The sequence below is a fragment of the Homo sapiens genome, chromosome 11 (genome assembly GCF_000001405.40).
Source record: "Homo sapiens chromosome 11, GRCh38.p14 Primary Assembly".
Classification (NCBI taxonomy): Eukaryota; Metazoa; Chordata; class Mammalia; order Primates; family Hominidae; genus Homo; species Homo sapiens.
Window position 1 is genome coordinate 51,622,722 of NC_000011.10, and position 18,897 is coordinate 51,641,618.

General features: G+C 40.1%; 1 annotated feature.

The window, feature by feature from the left end:
• Positions 1-18,897: part of a centromere (Linear centromere model derived predominantly from reads generated in PMID: 17803354. This region does not represent an actual centromere sequence, as long-range ordering of repeats and unmapped WGS contigs is not provided by the model. For details of model production, see http://arxiv.org/abs/1307.0035.) that runs on past both edges of the window.

Here is an 18,897-nt window from a genome sequence, read left to right on the forward strand (position 1 = left end):
TTTTCTTTTTGAGACAGGGTCTTGCTCTGCTGCCCAGGCTGGAATGCAGTGGTGTGGTCACAGCTCACTGAAGCTCCTGGGCTCAAGTGATCCTCCTGCCTCAGCCTACTAAGTAGCTAAGATCACAGGCATGCACCACCACTCCAGGCTAATTTTCTATTTTTAGCAGAGACAAGCTCTTTTTCTAGAATCTGAAAGTGGACATTTGGAGGGCTTTGAGGCCTGTGGTGGAAAAGGAAAATCTTCACATAAAAACTAGATGGAAGAGCATTCTCAGAAACTACTATGTGATGATTGCATTCGACTCACAGAGTTGAACATTCCTATAGATAGAGCAGGTTGTAAACAATCTTTTTGTAGAATCTGCGATTGGAGATTTGGACTGCTTTGAGGCCTACTGTAGTAAAGGAAATAACTTCATCTAAAAACCAAACGGAAGCATTCACAGCACAATTCTTAGTGATCATTGGATTGAACTAACAGAGCTGAACATTCCTTTAGATGGAGCAGTTTCCAAACACACTTTCTGTAGAATCTGCAAATGGATATTTGGACCTCTCTGAGGATTTCGTTGGAAACGGGCAAAATTTCCCAGAACTACACGGAAGCATTCTGAGAAACATCTTTGTGATATTTGCATTCAACTCACAGAGTTGAACCTTGCTTTCATAGTTCAGCTTTCAAACACTCTTTTTGTAGAATCTGCAAGTGGATATTTGGACCACTTTGTGGCCTTCCTTCGAAACGGGTATATCTTCACATCAAACCTAGACAGAAGCATTCTCAGAATGTTTCCTGTGATGACTGCATTCAACTCACAGAGGTGAACAATCCTGTTGATGGAGCACTTTTGAAACTCTCTTTCTTTGGATTCTGCAAGTTGATATGTGGACCTCTGTGAAGATTTCGTTGGAAACGGGTTCATCTTCACAGAAAAACTAAACAGAAGCATTCTCAGAAACTGCTTTGTGATGTTTGTGTTCCACTTCAGGAATTGAACTTTCCTCTTGACAGAGCAGCTCTGAAACCCTCTTATTCTAGAATCTGCAAGTGGACATTTGGAGGGCTTTGAGGCCTGTGGTGGAAAAGGAAAATCTTCACATAAAAACTAGATGGAAGCATTCTCAGAAACTACTTTGTGATGATTGCATTCGACTCACAGAGTTGAACATTCCTATACATAGAGCAGGTTGTAAACAATCTTTTTGTAGAATCTGCGATTGGAGATTTGGACTGCTTTGAGGCCTACTGTAGTAAAGGAAATAACTTCATCTAAAAACCAAACGGAAGCATTCACAGACAATTCTTACTGATCATTGGATTGAACTAACAGAGCTGAACATTCCTTTAGATGGAGCAGTTTCCAAACACACTTTCTGTAGAATCTGCAAGTGGATATTTGGACTTCTCTGAGGATTTCGTTGGAAACGGGATAAACTTCCCAGAACTACACGGAAGCATTGTGAGAAACTTCTTTGTGATGTTTGCATTCAACTCACACAGTTGAACCTTGCTTTCATAGTTCAGCTTTCAAACACTCTTTTTGTAGAATCTGCAAGTGGATATTTGGACCACTTTGTGGCCTTCCTTCGAAACGGGTATATCTTCACATCAAACCTAGACAGAAGCATTCTCAGAATGTTTCCTGTGATGACTGCGTTCAACTCACAGAGGTGAACAATCCTGCTGATGGAGCAGTTTTGAAACTCTCTTTCTTTGGATTCTGCAAGTGGATATGTGGACCTCTGTGAAGATTTCGCTGGAAAGGGGTTCATCTTCACAGAAAAACTAAACAGGAACATTCTCAGAAACTGCTTTGTGATGTTTGTGTTCCACTTCAAGAATTGAACTTTCCTCTTGACAGAGCAGCTCTGAAACCCTCTTTTTCTAGAATCTGCAAGTGGACATTTGGAGGGCTTTGAGGCCTGTGGTGGAAAAGGAAAATCTTCACATAAAAACTAGATGGAAGCATTCTCAGAAACTACTTTGTGATGATTGCATTCGACTCACAGAGTTGAACATTCCTATAGATAGAGCAGGTTGTAAACAATCTTTTTGTAGAATCTGCGATTGGAGATTTGGACTGCTTTCAGGCCTACTGTAGTAAAGGAAATAACTTAATCTAAAAATCAAACGGAAGCATTCACAGACAATTCTTAGTGATCATTGGATTGAACTAACAGAGCTGAACATTCCTTTAGATGGAGCAGTTTCCAAACCCTCTTTCTGTAGAATCTGCAAGTGGATATTTGGACTTCTCTGAGGATTTCGTTGGAAACGGGATAAACTTCCCAGAACTACACGGAAGCATTGTGAGAAACTTCTTTGTGATGTTTGCATTCAACTCACAGAGTTGAACCTTGCTTTCATAGTTCAGCTTTCAAACACTCTTTTTGTAGAATCTGCAAGTGGATATTTGGACCACTTTGTGGCCTTCCTTCGAAACGGGTATATCTTCACATCAAACCTAGACAGAAGCATTCTCAGAATGTTTCCTGTGATGACTGCATTCAACTCACAGAGGTGAACAATCCTGCTGATGGAGCAGTTTTGAAACTCTCTTTCTTTGGATTCTGCAAGTGGATATGTGGACCTCTGTGAAGATTTCGTTGGAAACGGGTTCATCTTCACAGAAAAACTAAACAGAAACATTCTCAGAAACTGCTTTGTGATGTTTGTGTTCCACTTCAGGAATTGAACTTTCCTCTTGACAGAGCAGCTCTGAAATCCTCTTATTCTAGAATCTGCAAGTGGACATTTGGAGGGCTTTGAGGCCTGTGGCGGAAAAGGAAAATCTTCACATAAAAACTAGATGGAAGCATTCTCAGAAACTACTTTGTGATGATTGCATTCGACTCACAGAGTTGAACATTCCTAAAGATAGAGCAGGTTGTAAACAATCTTTTTGTAGAATCTGCGATTGGAGATTTGGACTGCTTTGAGGCCTACTGTAGTAAAGGAAATAACTTCATCTAAAAACCAAACGGAAGCATTCACAGACAATTCTTACTGATAATTGGATTGAACTAACAGAGCTGAACATTCCTTTAGATGGAGCAGTTTCCAAACCCACTTTCTCTAGAATCTGCAAGTGGATATTTGGACTTCTCTGAGGATTTCGTTGGAAACGGGATAAACTTCCCAGAACTACACGGAAGCATTGTGAGAAACTTCTTTGTGATGTTTGCATTCAACTCACAGAGTTGAACCTTGCTTTCATAGTTCAGCTTTCAAACACTCTTTTTGTAGAATCTGCAAGTGGATATTTGGACCACTTTGTGGCCTTCCTTTGAAACGGGTATATCTTCACATCAAACCTAGACAGAAGCATTCTCAGAATGTTTCCTGTGATGACTGCATTCAACTCACAGAGGTGAACAATCCTGTTGATGGAGCAGTTTTGAAACTCTCTTTCTTTGGATTCTGTAAGTGGATATGTGGACCTCTGTGAAGATTTCGTTGGAAACGGGTTCATCTTCACAGAAAAACTAAACAGGAGCATTCTCAGAAACTGCTTTGTGATGTTTGTGTTCCACTTCAAGAATTGAACTTTCCTCTTGACAGAGCAGCTCTGAAACCCTCTTTTTCTAGAATCTGCAAGTGGACATTTGGAGGGCTTTGAGGCCTGTGGTGGAAAAGGAAAATCTTCACATAAAAACTAGATGGAAGCATTCTCAGAAACTACTTTGTGATGATTGCATTCGACTCACAGAGTTGAACATTCCTATAGATAGAGCAGGTTGTAAACAATCTTTTTGTAGAATCTGCGATTGGAGATTTGGACTGCTTTGAGGCCTACTGTAGTAAAGGAAATAACTTCATCTAAAAACCAAACGGAAGCATTCACAGACAATTCTTAGTGATCATTGCATTGATCTAACAGAGCTGAACATTCCTTTAGATGGCGTAGTTTCCAAACACACTTTCTGTAAAATCTGCAAGTGGATATTTGGACCTCTCTGAGGATTTCGTTGGAAACGGGATAAACTTCCCAGAACTACACGGAAGCATTCTGAGAAACTTCTTTGTGATGTTTGCATTCAACTCACAGAGTTGAACCTTGCTTTCATAGTTCAGCTTTCAAACACTCTTTTTGTAGAATCTGCAAGTGGATATTTGGACCACTTTGTGGCCTTCCTTCGAAACGGGTATATCTTCACATCAAACCTAGACAGAAGCATTCTCAGAATGTTTCCTGTGATGACTGCATTCAACTCACAGAGGTGAACAATCCTGTTTATGGAGCAGTTTTGAAACTCTCTTTCTTTGGATTCTGCAAGTTGATATGTCGACCTCTGTGAAGATTTCGTTGGAAACGGGTTCATCTTCACAGAAAAACTAAACAGAAGCATTCTCAGAAACTGCTTTGTGATGTTTGTGTTCCACTTCAAGAATTGAACTTTCATCTTGACAGAGCAGCTCTGAAACCCTCTTTTTCTAGAATCTGCAAGTGGACATTTGGAGGGCTTTTAGGCCTGTGTGGAAAAGGAAAATCTTCACATAAAAACTAGATGGAAGCATTCTCAGAAACTACTTTGTGATGATTGCATTCGACTCACAGAGTTGAACATTCCTATAGATAGAGCAGGTTGTAAACAATCTTTTTGTAGAATCTGCGATTGGAGATTTGGACTGCTTTGAGGCCTACTGTAGTAAAGGAAATAACTTCATCTAAAAACCAAACGGAAGCATTCACAGACAATTCTTAGTGATCATTGCATTGATCTAACAGAGCTGAACATTCCTTTAGATGGCGTAGTTTCCAAACACACTTTCTGTAGAATCTGCAAGTGCATATTTGGACCTCTCTGAGGATTTCGTTGGAAACGGGATAAACTTCCCAGAACTACACGGAAGCATTCTCAGAAACTACTTTGTGATGATTGCATTCGACTCACAGAGTTGAACATTCCTATAGATAGAGCAGGTTGAAAACAATCTTTTTGTAGAATCTGCAAGTGGATATTTGGACCACTTTGTGGCCTTCTTTCGAAACGGGTATATCTTCACATCAAACCTAGAGAGAAGCATTCTCAGAATGTTTCCTGTGATGACTGCATTCAACTCACAGAGGTGAACAATCCTGCTGATGGAGCAGTTTTGAAACTCTCTTTCTTTGGATTCTGCAAGTGGATATGTGGACCTCTGTGAAGATTTCGTTGGAAACGGGTTCATCTTCACAGAAAAACTAAACAGGAGCATTCTCAGAAACTGCTTTGTGATGCTTGTGTTCCACTTCACGAATTGAACTTTCCTCTTGACAGAGCAGCTCTGAAACCCTCTTTTTCTAGAATCTGCAAGTGGACATTTGGAGGGCTTTGAGGCCTGTGGTGGAAAAGGAAAATCTTCACATAAAAACTAGATGGAAGCATTCTCAGAAACTACTTTGTGATGATTGCATTCGACTCACAGAGTTGAACATTCCTATAGATAGAGCAGGTTGTAAACATACTTTTTGTAGAATCTGCGATTGCAGATTTGGACTGCTTTGAGGCCTACTGTAGTAAAGGCAATAACTTCATCTAAAAACCAAACGGAAGCATTCACAGACAATTCTTAGTGATCATTGGATTGAACTAACAGAGCTGAACATTCCTTTAGATGGCGCAGTTTCCAAACACACTTTCTGTAGAATCTGCAAGTGGATATTTGGACCTCTCTGAGGATTTCGTTGGAAACGGGATAAACTTCCCAGAACTACACGGAAGCATTCTGAGAAACTTCTTTGTGATGTTTGCATTCAACTCACAGAGTTGAACCTTGCTTTCATAGTTCAGCTTTCAAACACTCTTTTTGTAGAATCTGCAAGTGGATATTTGGACCACTTTGTGGCCTTCCTTCGAAACGGGTATATCTTCACATCAAACCTAGACAGAAGCATTCTCAGAATGTTTCCTGTGATGACTGCATTCAACTCACAGAGGTGAACAATCCTGCTGATGGAGCAGTTTTGAAACTCCCTTTCTTTGGATTCTGCAAGTTGATATGTGGACCTCTGTGAAGATTTCGTTGGAAACGGGTTCATCTTCACAGAAAAACTAAACAGAAGCATTCTCAGAAACTGCTTTGTGATGTTTGTGTTCCACTTCAGGAATTGAACTTTCCTCTTGACAGAGCAGCTCTGAAACCCTCTTATTCTAGAATCTGCAAGTGGACATTTGGAGGGCTTTGAGGCCTGTGGTGGAAAAGGAAAATCTTCACATAAAAACTAGATGGAAGCATTCTCAGAAACTACTTTGTGATGATTGCATTCGACTCACAGAGTTGAACATTCCTATAGATAGAGCAGGTTGTAAACAATCTTTTTGTAGAATCTGCGATTGGAGATTTGGACTGCTTTGAGGCCTACTGTAGTAAAGGAAATAACTTCATCTAAAAACCAAACGGAAGCATTCACAGACAATTCTTAGTGATCATTGCATTGAACTAACAGAGCTGAACATTCCTTTAGATGGCGCAGTTTCCAAACACACTTTCTGTAGAATCTGCAAGTGGATATTTGGACTTCTCTGAGGATTTCGTTGGAAACGGGATAAACTTCCCAGAACTACACGGAAGCATTCTGAGAAACTTCTTTGTGATGTTTGCATTCAACTCACAGAGTTGAACCTTGCTTTCATAGTTCAGCTTTCAAACACTCTTTTTGTAGAATCTGCAAGTGGATATTTGGACCACTTTGTGGCCTTCCTTCGAAACGGGTATATCTTCACATCAAACCTAGACAGAAGCATTCTCAGAATGTTTCCTGTGATGACTGCATTCAACTCACAGAGGTGAACAATCCTGTTGATGGAGCACTTTTGAAACTCTCTTTCTTTGGATTCTGCAAGTTGATATGTGGATCTCTGTGAAGATTTCGTTGGAAACGGGTTCATCTTCACAGAAAAACTAAACAGGAGCATTCTCAGAAACTACTTTGTGATGTTTGTGTTCCACTTCAAGAATTGAACTTTCCTCTTGACAGAGCAGCTCTGAAACCCTCTTTTTCTAGAATCTGCAAGTGGACATTTGGAGGGCTTTGAGGCATGTGGTGGAAAAGGAAAATCTTCACATAAAAACTAGATGGAAGCATTCTCAGAAACTACTTTGTGATGATTGCATTCGACTCACAGAGTTGAACATTCCTATAGATAGAGCAGGTTGTAAACAATCTTTTTGTAGAATCTGCGATTGGAGATTTGGACTGCTTTGAGGCCTACTATAGTAAAGGAAATAACTTCACCTAAAAACCAAACGGAAGCATTCACAGACAATTCTTAGTGATCATTGCATTGAACTAACAGAGCTGAACATTCCTTTAGATGGCGCAGTTTCCAAACACACTTTCTGTAGAATCTGCAAGTGGATATTTGGACTTCTCTGAGGATTTCGTTGGAAACGGGATAAACTTCCCAGAACTACACGGAAGCATTGTGAGAAACTTCTTTGTGATGTTTGCATTCAACTCACAGAGTTGAACCTTGCTTTCATAGTTCAGCTTTCAAACACTCTTTTTGTAGAATCTGCAAGTGGATATTTGGACCACTTTGTGGCCTTCCTTCGAACGGGTATATCTTCACATCAAACCTAGACAGAAGCATTCTCAGAATGTTTCCTGTGATGACTGCATTCAACTCACAGAGGTGAACAATCCTGCTGATGGAGCACTTTTGAAACTCTCTTTCTTTGGATTCTGCAAGTTGATATGTGGAACTCTGTGAAGATTTCGTTGGAAACGGGTTCATCCTCACAGAAAAACTAAACAGAAGCATTCTCAGAAACTGCTTTGTGATGTTTGTGTTCCACTTCAAGAATTGAACTTTTCTCTTGACAGAGCAGCTCTGAAACCCTCTTTTTCTAGAATCTGCAAGTGGACATTTGGAGGGCTTTGAGGCCTGTGGTGGAAAACGAAAATCTTCACATAAAAACTAGATGGAAGCATTCTCAGAAACTACTTTGTGATGATTGCATTCGACTCACAGAGTTGAACATTCCTATAGATAGAGCAGGTTGTAAACAATCTTTTTGTAGAATCTGCGATTGGAGATTTGGACTGCTTTGAGGCCTACTGTAGTAAAGGAAATAACTTCATCTAAAAACCAAACGGAAGCATTCACAGACAATTCTTAGTGATCATTGGATTGAAGTAACAGAGCTGAACACTCCTTTAGATGGAGCAGTTTCCAAACACGCTTTCTGTAGAATCTGCAAGTGGATATTTGGACTTCTCTGAGGATTTCGATGGAAACGGGATAAACTTCCCAGAACTACACGGAAGCATTCTGAGAAACTTCTTTGTGAAGTTTGCATTCAACACACAGAGTTGAACCTTGCTTTCATAGTTCAGCTTTCAAACACTCTTTTTGTAGAATCTGCAAGTGGATATTTGGACCATTTGTGGCCTTCCTTCGAAACGGGTATATCTTCACATCAAACCTAGACAGAAGCATTCTCAGAATGTTTCCTGTGATGACTGCATTCAACTCACAGAGGTGAACAATCCTGCTGATGGAGCAGTTTTGAAACTCTCTTTCTTTGGATTCTGCAAGTGGATATGTGGACCTCTGTGAAGATTTCGTTGGAAACGGGTTCATCTTCACAGAAAAACTAAACAGAAGCATTCTCAGAAACTGCTTTGTGATGTTTGTGTTCCACTTCAGGAATTGAACTTTCCTCTTGACAGAGCAGCTCTGAAACCCTCTTATTCTAGAATCTGCAAGTGGACATTTGGAGGGCTTTGAGGCCTGTGGTGGAAAAGGAAAATCTTCACATAAAAACTAGATGGAAGCATTCTCAGAAACTACTTTGTGATGATTGCATTCGACTCACAGAGTTGAACATTCCTATAGATAGAGCAGGTTGTAAACAATCTTTTTGTAGAATCTGCGATTGGAGATTTGGACTGCTTTGAGGCCTACTGTAGTAAAGGAAATAACTTCATCTAAAAACCAAACGGAAGCATTCACAGACAATTCTTAGTGATCATTGGATTGAACTAACAGAGCTGAACATTCCTTTAGATGGAGCAGTTTCCAAACACACTTTCTGTAGAATCTGCAAGTGGATATTTGGACTTCTCTGAGGATTTCGTTGGAAACGGGATAAACTTCCCAGAACTACATGGAAGCATTCTGAGAAACTTCTTTGTGATGTTTGCATTCAACTCACAGAGTTGAACCTTGTTTTCATAGTTCAGCTTTCAAACACTCTTTTTGTAGAATCTGCAAGTGGATATTTGGACCACTTTGTGGCCTTCCTTCGAAACGGGTATATCTTCACATCAAACCTAGACAGAAGCATTCTCAGAATGTTTCCTGTGATGACTGCATTCAACTCACAGAGGTGAACAATCCTGTTGATGGAGCACTTTTGAAACTCTCTTTCTTTGGATTCTGCAAGTTGATATGTGGACCTCTGTGAAGATTTCGTTGGAAACGGGTTCATCTTCACAGAAAAACTAAACAGAAGCATTCTCAGAAACTGCTTTGTGATGTTTGTGTTCCACTTCAGGAATTGAACTTTCCTCTTGACAGAGCAGCTCTGAAGCCCTCTTATTCTAGAATCTGCAAGTGGACATTTGGAGGGCTTTGAGGCCTGTGGTTGAAAAGGATAATCTTCACATAAAAACTAGATGGAAGCATTCTCAGAAACTACTTTGTGATGATTGCATTCGACTCACAGAGTTGAACATTCCTATAGATAGAGCAGGTTGTAAACAATCTTTTTGTAGAATCTGCGATTGGAGATTTGGACTGCTTTGAGGCCTACTGTAGTAAAGGAAATAACTTCATCTAAAAACCAAACGGAAGCATTCACAGACAATTCTTAGTGATCATTGCATTGAACTAACAGAGCTGAACATTCCTTTAGATGGTGCAGTTTCCAAACACACTTTCTGTAGAATCTGCAAGTGGATATTTGGACCTCTCTGAGGATTTCGTTGGAAACGGGATAAACTTCCCAGAACTACACGGAAGCATTCTGAGAAACTTCTTTGTGATGTTTGCATTCAACTCACAGAGTTGAACCTTGCTTTCATAGTTCAGCTTTCAAACACTCTTTTTGTAGAATCTGCAAGTGGATATTTGGACCACTTTGTCGCCTTCCTTCGAAACGGGTATATCTTCACATCAAACCTAGACAGAAGCATTCTCAGAATGTTTCCTGTGATGACTGCATTCAACTCACCGAGGTGAACAATCCTGCTGATGGAGCAGTTTTGAAACTCTCTTTCTTTGGATTCTGCAAGTGGATATGTGGACCTCTGTGAAGATTTCGTTGGAAACGGGTTCATCTTCACAGAAAAACTAAACAGACAGCATTCTCAGAAACTGCTTTGTGATGTTTGTGTTCCACTTCAGGAATTGAACTTTCCTCTTGACAGAGCAGCTCTGAAACCCTCTTTTTCTAGAATCTGCAAGTGGACATTTGGAGGGCTTTGAGGCCTGTGGTGGAAAAGGAAAATCTTCACATAAAAACTAGATGGAAGCATTCTCAGAAACTACTTTGTGATGATTGCATTCGACTCACAGAGTTGAACATTCCTATACATAGAGCAGGTTGTAAACAATCTTTTTGTAGAATCTGCGATTGGAGATTTGGACTGCTTTGAGGCCTACTGTAGTAAAGGAAATAACTTCATCTAAAAACCAAACGGAAGCATTCACAGACAATTCTTAGTGATCATTGGATTGAACTAACAGAGCTGAACATTCCTTTAGATGGCGCAGTTTCCAAACACACTTTCTGTAGAATCTGCAAGTGGATATTTGGACCTCTCTGAGGATTTCGTTGGAAACGGGATAAACTTCCCAGAACTACACGGAAGCATTCTGAGAAACTTCTTTGTGATGTTTGCATTCAACTCACAGAGTTGAACCTTGCTTTCATAGTTCAGCTTTCAAACACTCTTTTTGTAGAATCTGCAAGTGGATATTTGGACCACTTTGTGGCCTTCCTTCGAAACGGGTATATCTTCACATCAAACCTAGACAGAAGCATTCTCAGAATGTTTCCTGTGATGACTGCATTCAACTCACAGAGGTGAACAATCCTGCTGATGGAGCAGTTTTGAAACTCTCTTTCTTTGGATTCTGCAAGTGGATATGTGGACCTCTGTGAAGATTTCGTTGGAAACGGGTTCATCTTCACAGAAAAACTAAACAGGAGCATTCTCAGAAACTGCTTTGTGATGTTTGTGTTCCACTTCAAGAATTGAACTTTCCTCTTGACAGAGCAGCTCTGAAACCCTCTTTTTCTAGAATCTGCAAGTGGACATTTGGAGGGCTTTGAGGCCTGTGGTGGAAAAGGAAAATCTTCACATAAAAACTAGATGGAAGCATTCTCAGAAACTACTTTGTGATGATTGCATTCGACTCACAGAGTTGAACATTCCTATAGATAGAGCAGGTTGTAAACAATCTTTTTGTAGAATCTGCGATTGGAGATTTGGACTGCTTTGAGGCCTACTGTAGTAAAGGAAATAACTTCATCTAAAAACCAAACGGAAGCATTCACAGACAATTCTTAGTGATCATTGGATTGAACTAACAGAGCTGAACATTCCTTTAGATGGAGCAGTTTCCACACACACTTTCTGTAGAATCTGCAAGTGGATATTTGGACCTCTCTGAGGATTTCGTTGGAAACGGGATAAACTTCCCAGAACTACACAGAAGCATTCTGAGAAACTTCTTTGTGATGGTTGCATTCAACTCACAGAGTTGAACCTTGCTTTCATAGTTCAGCTTTCAAACTCTCTTTTTGTAGAATCTGCAAGTGGATATTTGGACCAATTTGTGGCCTTCCTTCGAAACGGGTATATCTTCACATCAAACCTTGACAGAAGCATTCTCAGAATGTTTCCTGTGATGACTGCATTCAACTCACAGAGGTGAACAATCCTGCTGATGGAGCAGTTTTGAAACTCTCTTTCTTTGGATTCTGCAAGTGGATATGTGGACCTCTGTGAAGATTTCGTTGGAAACGGGTTCATCTTCACAGAAAAACTAAACAGAAGCATTCTCAGAAACTGCTTTGTGATGTTTGTGTTCCACTTCAGGAATTGAACTTTCCTCTTGACAGAGCAGCTCTGAAACCCTCTTATTCTAGAATCTGCAAGTGGACATTTGGAGGGCTTTGAGGCCTGTGGTGGAAAAGGAAAATCTTCACATAAAAACTAGATGGAAGCATTCTCAGAAACTACTTTGTGATGATTGCATTCGACTCACAGAGTTGAACATTCCTATAGATAGAGCAGGTTGTAAACAATCTTTTTGTAGAATCTGCGATTGGAGATTTGGACTGCTTTGAGGCCTACTGTAGTAAAGGAAATTACTTCATCTAAAAACCAAACGGAAGCATTCACAGACAATTCTTAGTGATCATTGGATTGAACTAACAGAGCTGAACATTCCTTTAGATGGAGCAGTTTCCAAACCCACTTTCTGTAGAATCTGCAAGTGGATATTTGGACTTCTCTGAGGATTTTGTTGGAAACGGGATAAACTTCCCAGAACTACAGGGAAGCATTGTGAGAAACTTCTTTGTGATGTTTGCATTCAACTCACAGAGTTGAACCTTGCTTTCATAGTTCAGCTTTCAAACACTCTTTTTGTAGAATCTGCAAGTGGATATTTGGACCACTTTGTGGCCTTCCTTCGAAACGGGTATATCTTCACATCAAACCTAGACAGAAGCATTCTCAGAATGTTTCCTGTGATGACTGCATTCAACTCACAGAGGTGAACAATCCTGCTGTTGGAGCAGTTTTGAAACTCTCTTTCTTTGGATTCTGCAAGTGGATATGTGAACCTCTGTGAAGATTTCGTTGGAAACGGGTTCATCTTCACAGAAAAACTAAACAGGAGCATTCTCAGAAACTGCTTTGTGATGTTTGTGTTCCACTTCAAGAATTGAACTTTCCTCTTGACAGAGCAGCTCTGAAACCCTCTTTTTCTAGAATCTGCAAGTGGACATTTGGAGGGCTTTGAGGCCTGTGGTGGAAAAGGAAAATCTTCACATAAAAACTAGATGGAAGCATTCTCAGAAACTACTTTGTGATGATTGCATTCGACTCACAGAGTTGAACATTCCTATAGATAGAGCAGGTTGTAAACAATCTTTTTGTAGAATCTGCGATTGGAGATTTGGACTGCTTTGAGGCCTACTGTAGTAAAGGAAATAACTTCACCTAAAAACCAAACGGAAGCATTCACAGACAATTCTTAGTGATCATTGCATTGAACTAACAGAGCTGAACATTCCTTTAGATGGAGCATTTTCCAAACACACTTTCTGTAGAATCTGCAAGTGGATATTTGGACTTCTCTGAGGATTTCGTTGGAAACGGGATAAACTTCCCAGAACTACACGGAAGCATTCTGAGAAACTTCTTTGTGATGTTTGCATTCAACTCACAGAGTTGAACCTTGCTTTCATAGTTCAGCTTTCAAACACTCTTTTTGTAGAATCTGCAAGAGGATATTTGGACCAATTTGTGGCCTTCCTTCGAAACGGGTATATCTTCACATCAAACCTAGACAGAAGCATTCTCAGAATGTTTCCTGTGATGACTGCATTCAACTCACAGAGGTGAACAATCCTGCTGATGGAGCAGTTTTGAAACTCTCTTTCTTTGGATTCTGCAAGTGGATATGTGGACCTCTGTGAAGATTTCGTTGGAAACGGGTTCATCTTCACAGAAAAACTAAACAGAAGCATTCTCAGAAACTGCTTTGTGATGTTTGTGTTCCACTTCAGGAATTGAACTTTCCTCTTGACAGAGCAGCTCTGAAACCCTCTTATTCTAGAATCTGCAAGTGGACATTTGGAGGGCTTTGAGGCCTGTGGTGGAAAAGGAAAATCTTCACATAAAAACTAGATGGAAGCATTCTCAGAAACTACTTTGTGATGATTGCATTCGACTCACAGAGTTGAACATTCCTATAGATAGAGCAGGTTGTAAACAATCTTTTTGTAGAATCTGCGATTGGAGATTTGGACTGCTTTGAGGCCTACTGTAGTAAAGGAAATAACTTCATCTAAAAACCAAACGGAAGCATTCACAGACAATTCTTAGTGATCATTGCATTGAACTAACAGAGCTGAACATTCCTTTAGATGGCGCAGTTTCCAAACACACTTTCTGTAGAATCTGCAAGTGGATATTTGGACCTCTCTGAGGATTTCGTTGGAAACGGGATAAACTTCCCAGAACTACACGGAAGCATTCTGAGAAACTTCTTTGTGATGTTTGCATTCAACTCACAGAGTTGAACCTTGCTTTCATAGTTCAGCTTTCAAACACTCTTTTTGTAGAATCTGCAAGTGGATATTTGGACCACTTTGTGGCCTTCCTTCGAAACGGGTATATCTTCACATCAAACCTAGACAGAAGCATTCTCAGAATGTTTCCTGTGATGACTGTATTCAACTCACAGAGGTGAACAATCCTGCTGATGGAGCAGTTTTGAAACTCTCTTTCTTTGGATTCTGCAAGTGGATATGTGGACCTACTGTGAAGATTTCGTTGGAAACGGGTTCATCTTCACAGAAAAACTAAACAGGAGCATTCTCAGAAACTGCTTTGTGATGTTTGTGTTCCACTTCAAGAATTGAACTTTCCTCTTGACAGAGCAGCTCTGAAACCCTCTTTTTCTAGAATCTGCAAGTGGACATTTGGAGGGCTTTGAGGCCTGTGGTGGAAAAGGAAAATCTTCACATAAAAACTAGATGGAAGCATTCTCAGAAACTACTTTGTGATGATTGCATTCGACTCACAGAGTTGAACATTCCTATAGATAGAGCAGGTTGTAAACAATCTTTTTGTAGAATCTGCGATTGGAGATTTGGACTGCTTTGAGGCCTACTGTATTAAAGGAAATAACTTCATCTAAAAACCAAACGGAAGCATTCACAGACAATTCTTAGTGATCATTGGATTGAACTAACAGAGCTGAACATTCCCTTTGATGGCACAGTTTCCAAACACACTTTCTGTAGAATCTGCAAGTGGATATTTGGACCTCTGTGAGGATTTCTTTGGAAACGGGATAAACTTCCCAGAACTACACGGAAGCATTCTGAGAAACTTCTTTGTGATGTTTGCATTCAACTCACAGAGTTGAACCTTGCTTTCATAGTTCAGCTTTCAAACACTCTTTTTGTAGAATCTGCAAGTGGATATTTGGACCACTTTGTGGCCTTCCTTCGAAACGGGTATATCTTCACATCAAACCTAGACAGAAGCATTCTCAGAATGTTTCCTGTGATGACTGCATTCAACTCACAGAGGTGAACAATCCTGTTGATGGAGCAGTTTTGAAACTCTCTTTCTTTGGATTCTGCAAGTGGATATGTGGACCTCTGTGAAGATTTCGTTGGAAACGGGTTCAACTGCACAGAAAAACTAAACAGGATCATTCTCAGAAACTGCTTTGTGATGTTTGTGTTCCACTTCAAGAATTGAACTTTCCTCTTGACAGAGCAGCTCTGAAACCCTCTTTTTCTAGAATCTGCAAGTGGACATTTGGAGGGCTTTGAGGCCTGTGGTGGAAAAGGAAAATCTTCACATAAAAACTAGATGGAAGCATTCTCAGAAACTACTTTGTGATGATTGCATTCGACTCACAGAGTTGAACATTCCTATAGATAGAGCAGGTTGTAAACAATCTTTTTGTAGAATCTGAGATTGGAGATTTGGACTGCTTTGAGGCCTACTGTAGTAAAGTAAATAACTTCATCTAAAAACCAAACGGAAGCATTCACAGACAATTCTTAGTGATCATTGGATTGAACTAACAGAGCTGAACATTCCTTTAGATGGCGCAGTTTCCAAACACACTTTCTGTAGAATCTGCAAGTGGATATTTGGACCTCTCTGAGGATTTCGTTGGAAAAGGGATAAACTTCCCAGAACTACACGGAAGCATTCTGAGAAACTTCTTTGTGATGTTTGCATTCAACTCACAGAGTTGAACCTTGCTTTCATAGTTCAGCTTTCAAACACTCTTTTTGTAGAATCTGCAAGTGGATATTTGGACCACTTTGTGGCCTTCCTTCGAAACGGGTATATCTTCACATCAAACCTAGACAGAAGCATTCTCAGAATGTTTCCTGTGATGACTGCATTCAACTCACAGAGGTGAACAATCCTGTTGATGGAGCACTTTTGAAACTCTCTTTCTTTGGATTCTGCAAGTTGATATGTGGATCTCTGTGAAGATTTCGTTGGAAACGGGTTCATCTTCACAGAAAAACTAAACAGGAGCATTCTCAGAAACTACTTTGTGATGTTTGTGTTCCACTTCAAGAATTGAACTTTCCTCTTGACAGAGCAGCTCTGAAACCCTCTTTTTCTAGAATCTGCAAGTGGACATTTGGAGGTCTTTGAGGCATGTGGTGGAAAAGGAAAATCTTCACATAAAAACTAGATGGAAGCATTCTCAGAAACTACTTTGTGATGATTGCATTCGACTCACAGAGTTGAACATTCCTATAGATAGAGCAGGTTGTAAACAATCTTTTTGTAGAATCTGCGATTGGAGATTTGGACTGCTTTGAGGCCTACTGTAGTAAAGGAAATAACTTCATCTAAAAACCAAACGGAAGCATTCACAGACAATTCTTAGTGATCATTGCATTGAACTAACAGAGCTGAACATTCCTGTAGATGGCGCAGTTTCCAAACACACTTTCTTTAGAATCTGCAAGTGGATATTTGGACCTCTCTGAGGATTTCGTTGGAAACGGGATAAACTTCCCAGAACTACACGGAAGCATTGTGAGAAACTTCTTTGTGATGTTTGCATTCAACTCACAGAGTTGAACCTTGCTTTCATAGTTCAGCTTTCAAACACTCTTTTTGTAGAATCTGCAAGTGGATATTTGGACCACTTTGTGGCCTTCCTTCGAAACGGGTATATCTTCACATCAAACCTAGACAGAAGCATTCTCAGAATGTTTCCTGTGATGACTGCATTCAACTCACAGAGGTGAACAATCCTGCTGATGGAGCAGTTTTGAAACTCTCCTTCTTTGGATTCTGCAAGTGGATATGTGGACCTCTGTGAAGATTTCGTTGGAAACGGGTTCATCTTCACAGAAAAACTAAACAGAAGCATTCTCAGAAACTGCTTTGTGATGTTTGTGTTCCACTTCAGGAATTGAACTTTCATCTTGACAGAGCAGCTCTGAAACCCTCTTATTCTAGAATCTGCAAGTGGACATTTGGAGGGCTTTGAGGCCTGTGGTGGAAAAGGAAAATCTTCACATAAAAACTAGATGGAAGCATTCTCAGAAACTACTTTGTGATGATTGCATTCGACTCACAGAGTTGAACATTCCTATAGATAGAGCAGGTTGTAAACAATCTTTTTGTAGAATCTGCGATTGGAGATTTGGACTGCTTTGAGGCCTACTGTAGTAAAGGAAATAACTTCATCTAAAAACCAAACGGAAGCATTCACAGAAAATTCTTAGTGATCATTGGATTGAACTAACAGAGCTGAACATTCCTTTAGATGGCACAGTTTCCCAACACACTTTCTGTAGAATCTGCAAGTGGATATTTGGACCTCTCTGAGGATTTCGTTGGAAACGGGCTAAACTTCCCAGAACTACACGGAAGCATTGTGAGAAACTTCTTTGTGATGTTTGCATTCAACTCACAGAGTTGAACCTTGCTTTCATAGTTCAGCTTTCAAACACTCTTTTTGTAGAATCTGCAAGTGGATATTTGGACCACTTTGTGGCCTTCCTTCGAAACGGGTATATCTTCACATCAAACCTAGACAGAAGCATTCTCCGAATGTTTCCGGTGATGACTGCATTCAACTCACAGAGGTGAACAATCCTGCTGTTGGAGCAGTTTTGAAACTCTCTTTCTTTGGATTCTGCAAGTGGATATGTGGACCTCTGTGAAGATTTCGTTGGAAACGGGTTCATCTTCACAGAAAAACTAAACAGGAGCATTCTCAGAAACTGCTTTGTGATGTTTGTGTTCCTCTTCAGGAATTGAACTTTCCTCTTGACAGAGCAGCTCTGAAACCCTCTTTTTCTAGAATCTGCAAGTGGACATTTGGAGGGCTTTGAGGCCTGTGGTGGAAAAGGAAAATCTTCACATAAAAACTAGATGGAAGCATTCTCAGAAACTACTTTGTGATGATTGCATTCGACTCACAGAGTTGAACATTCCTATAGATAGAGCAGGTTGTAAACAATCTTTTTGTAGAATCTGCGATTGGAGATTTGGACTGCTTTGAGGCCTACTGTAGTAAAGGAAATAACTTCATCTAAAAACCAAACGGAAGAATTCACAGACAATTCTTAATGATCATTGCATTGAACTAACAGAGCTGAACATTCCTTTAGATGGCGCAGTTTCCAAACACACTTTCTGTAGAATCTGCAAGTGGATATTTGGACCTCCCTGAGGATTTCGTTGGAAACGGGATAAAATTCCCAGAACTACACGGAGCATTGTGAGAAACTTCTTTGTGATGTTTGCATTCAACTCACAGAGTTGAACCTTGCTTTCATAGTTCAGCTTTCAAACACTCTTTTTGTAGAATCTGCAAGTGGATATTTGGACCACTTTGTGGCCTTCCTTTGAAACGGGTATATCTTCACATCAAACCTAGACAGAAGCATTCTCAGAATGTTTCCTGTGATGACTGCATTCAACTCACAGAGGTGAACAATCCTGTTGATGGAGCAGTTTTGAAACTCTCTTTCTTTGGATTCTGCAAGTGGATATGTGGACCTCTGTGAAGATTTCGTTGGAAACGGGTTCATCTTCACAGAAAAACTAAACAGAAGCATTCTCAGAAACTGCTTTGTGAGGTTTGTGTTCCACTTCAACAATTGAACTTTCCTCTTGACAGAGCAGCTCTGAAACCCTCTTTTTCTAGAATCTGC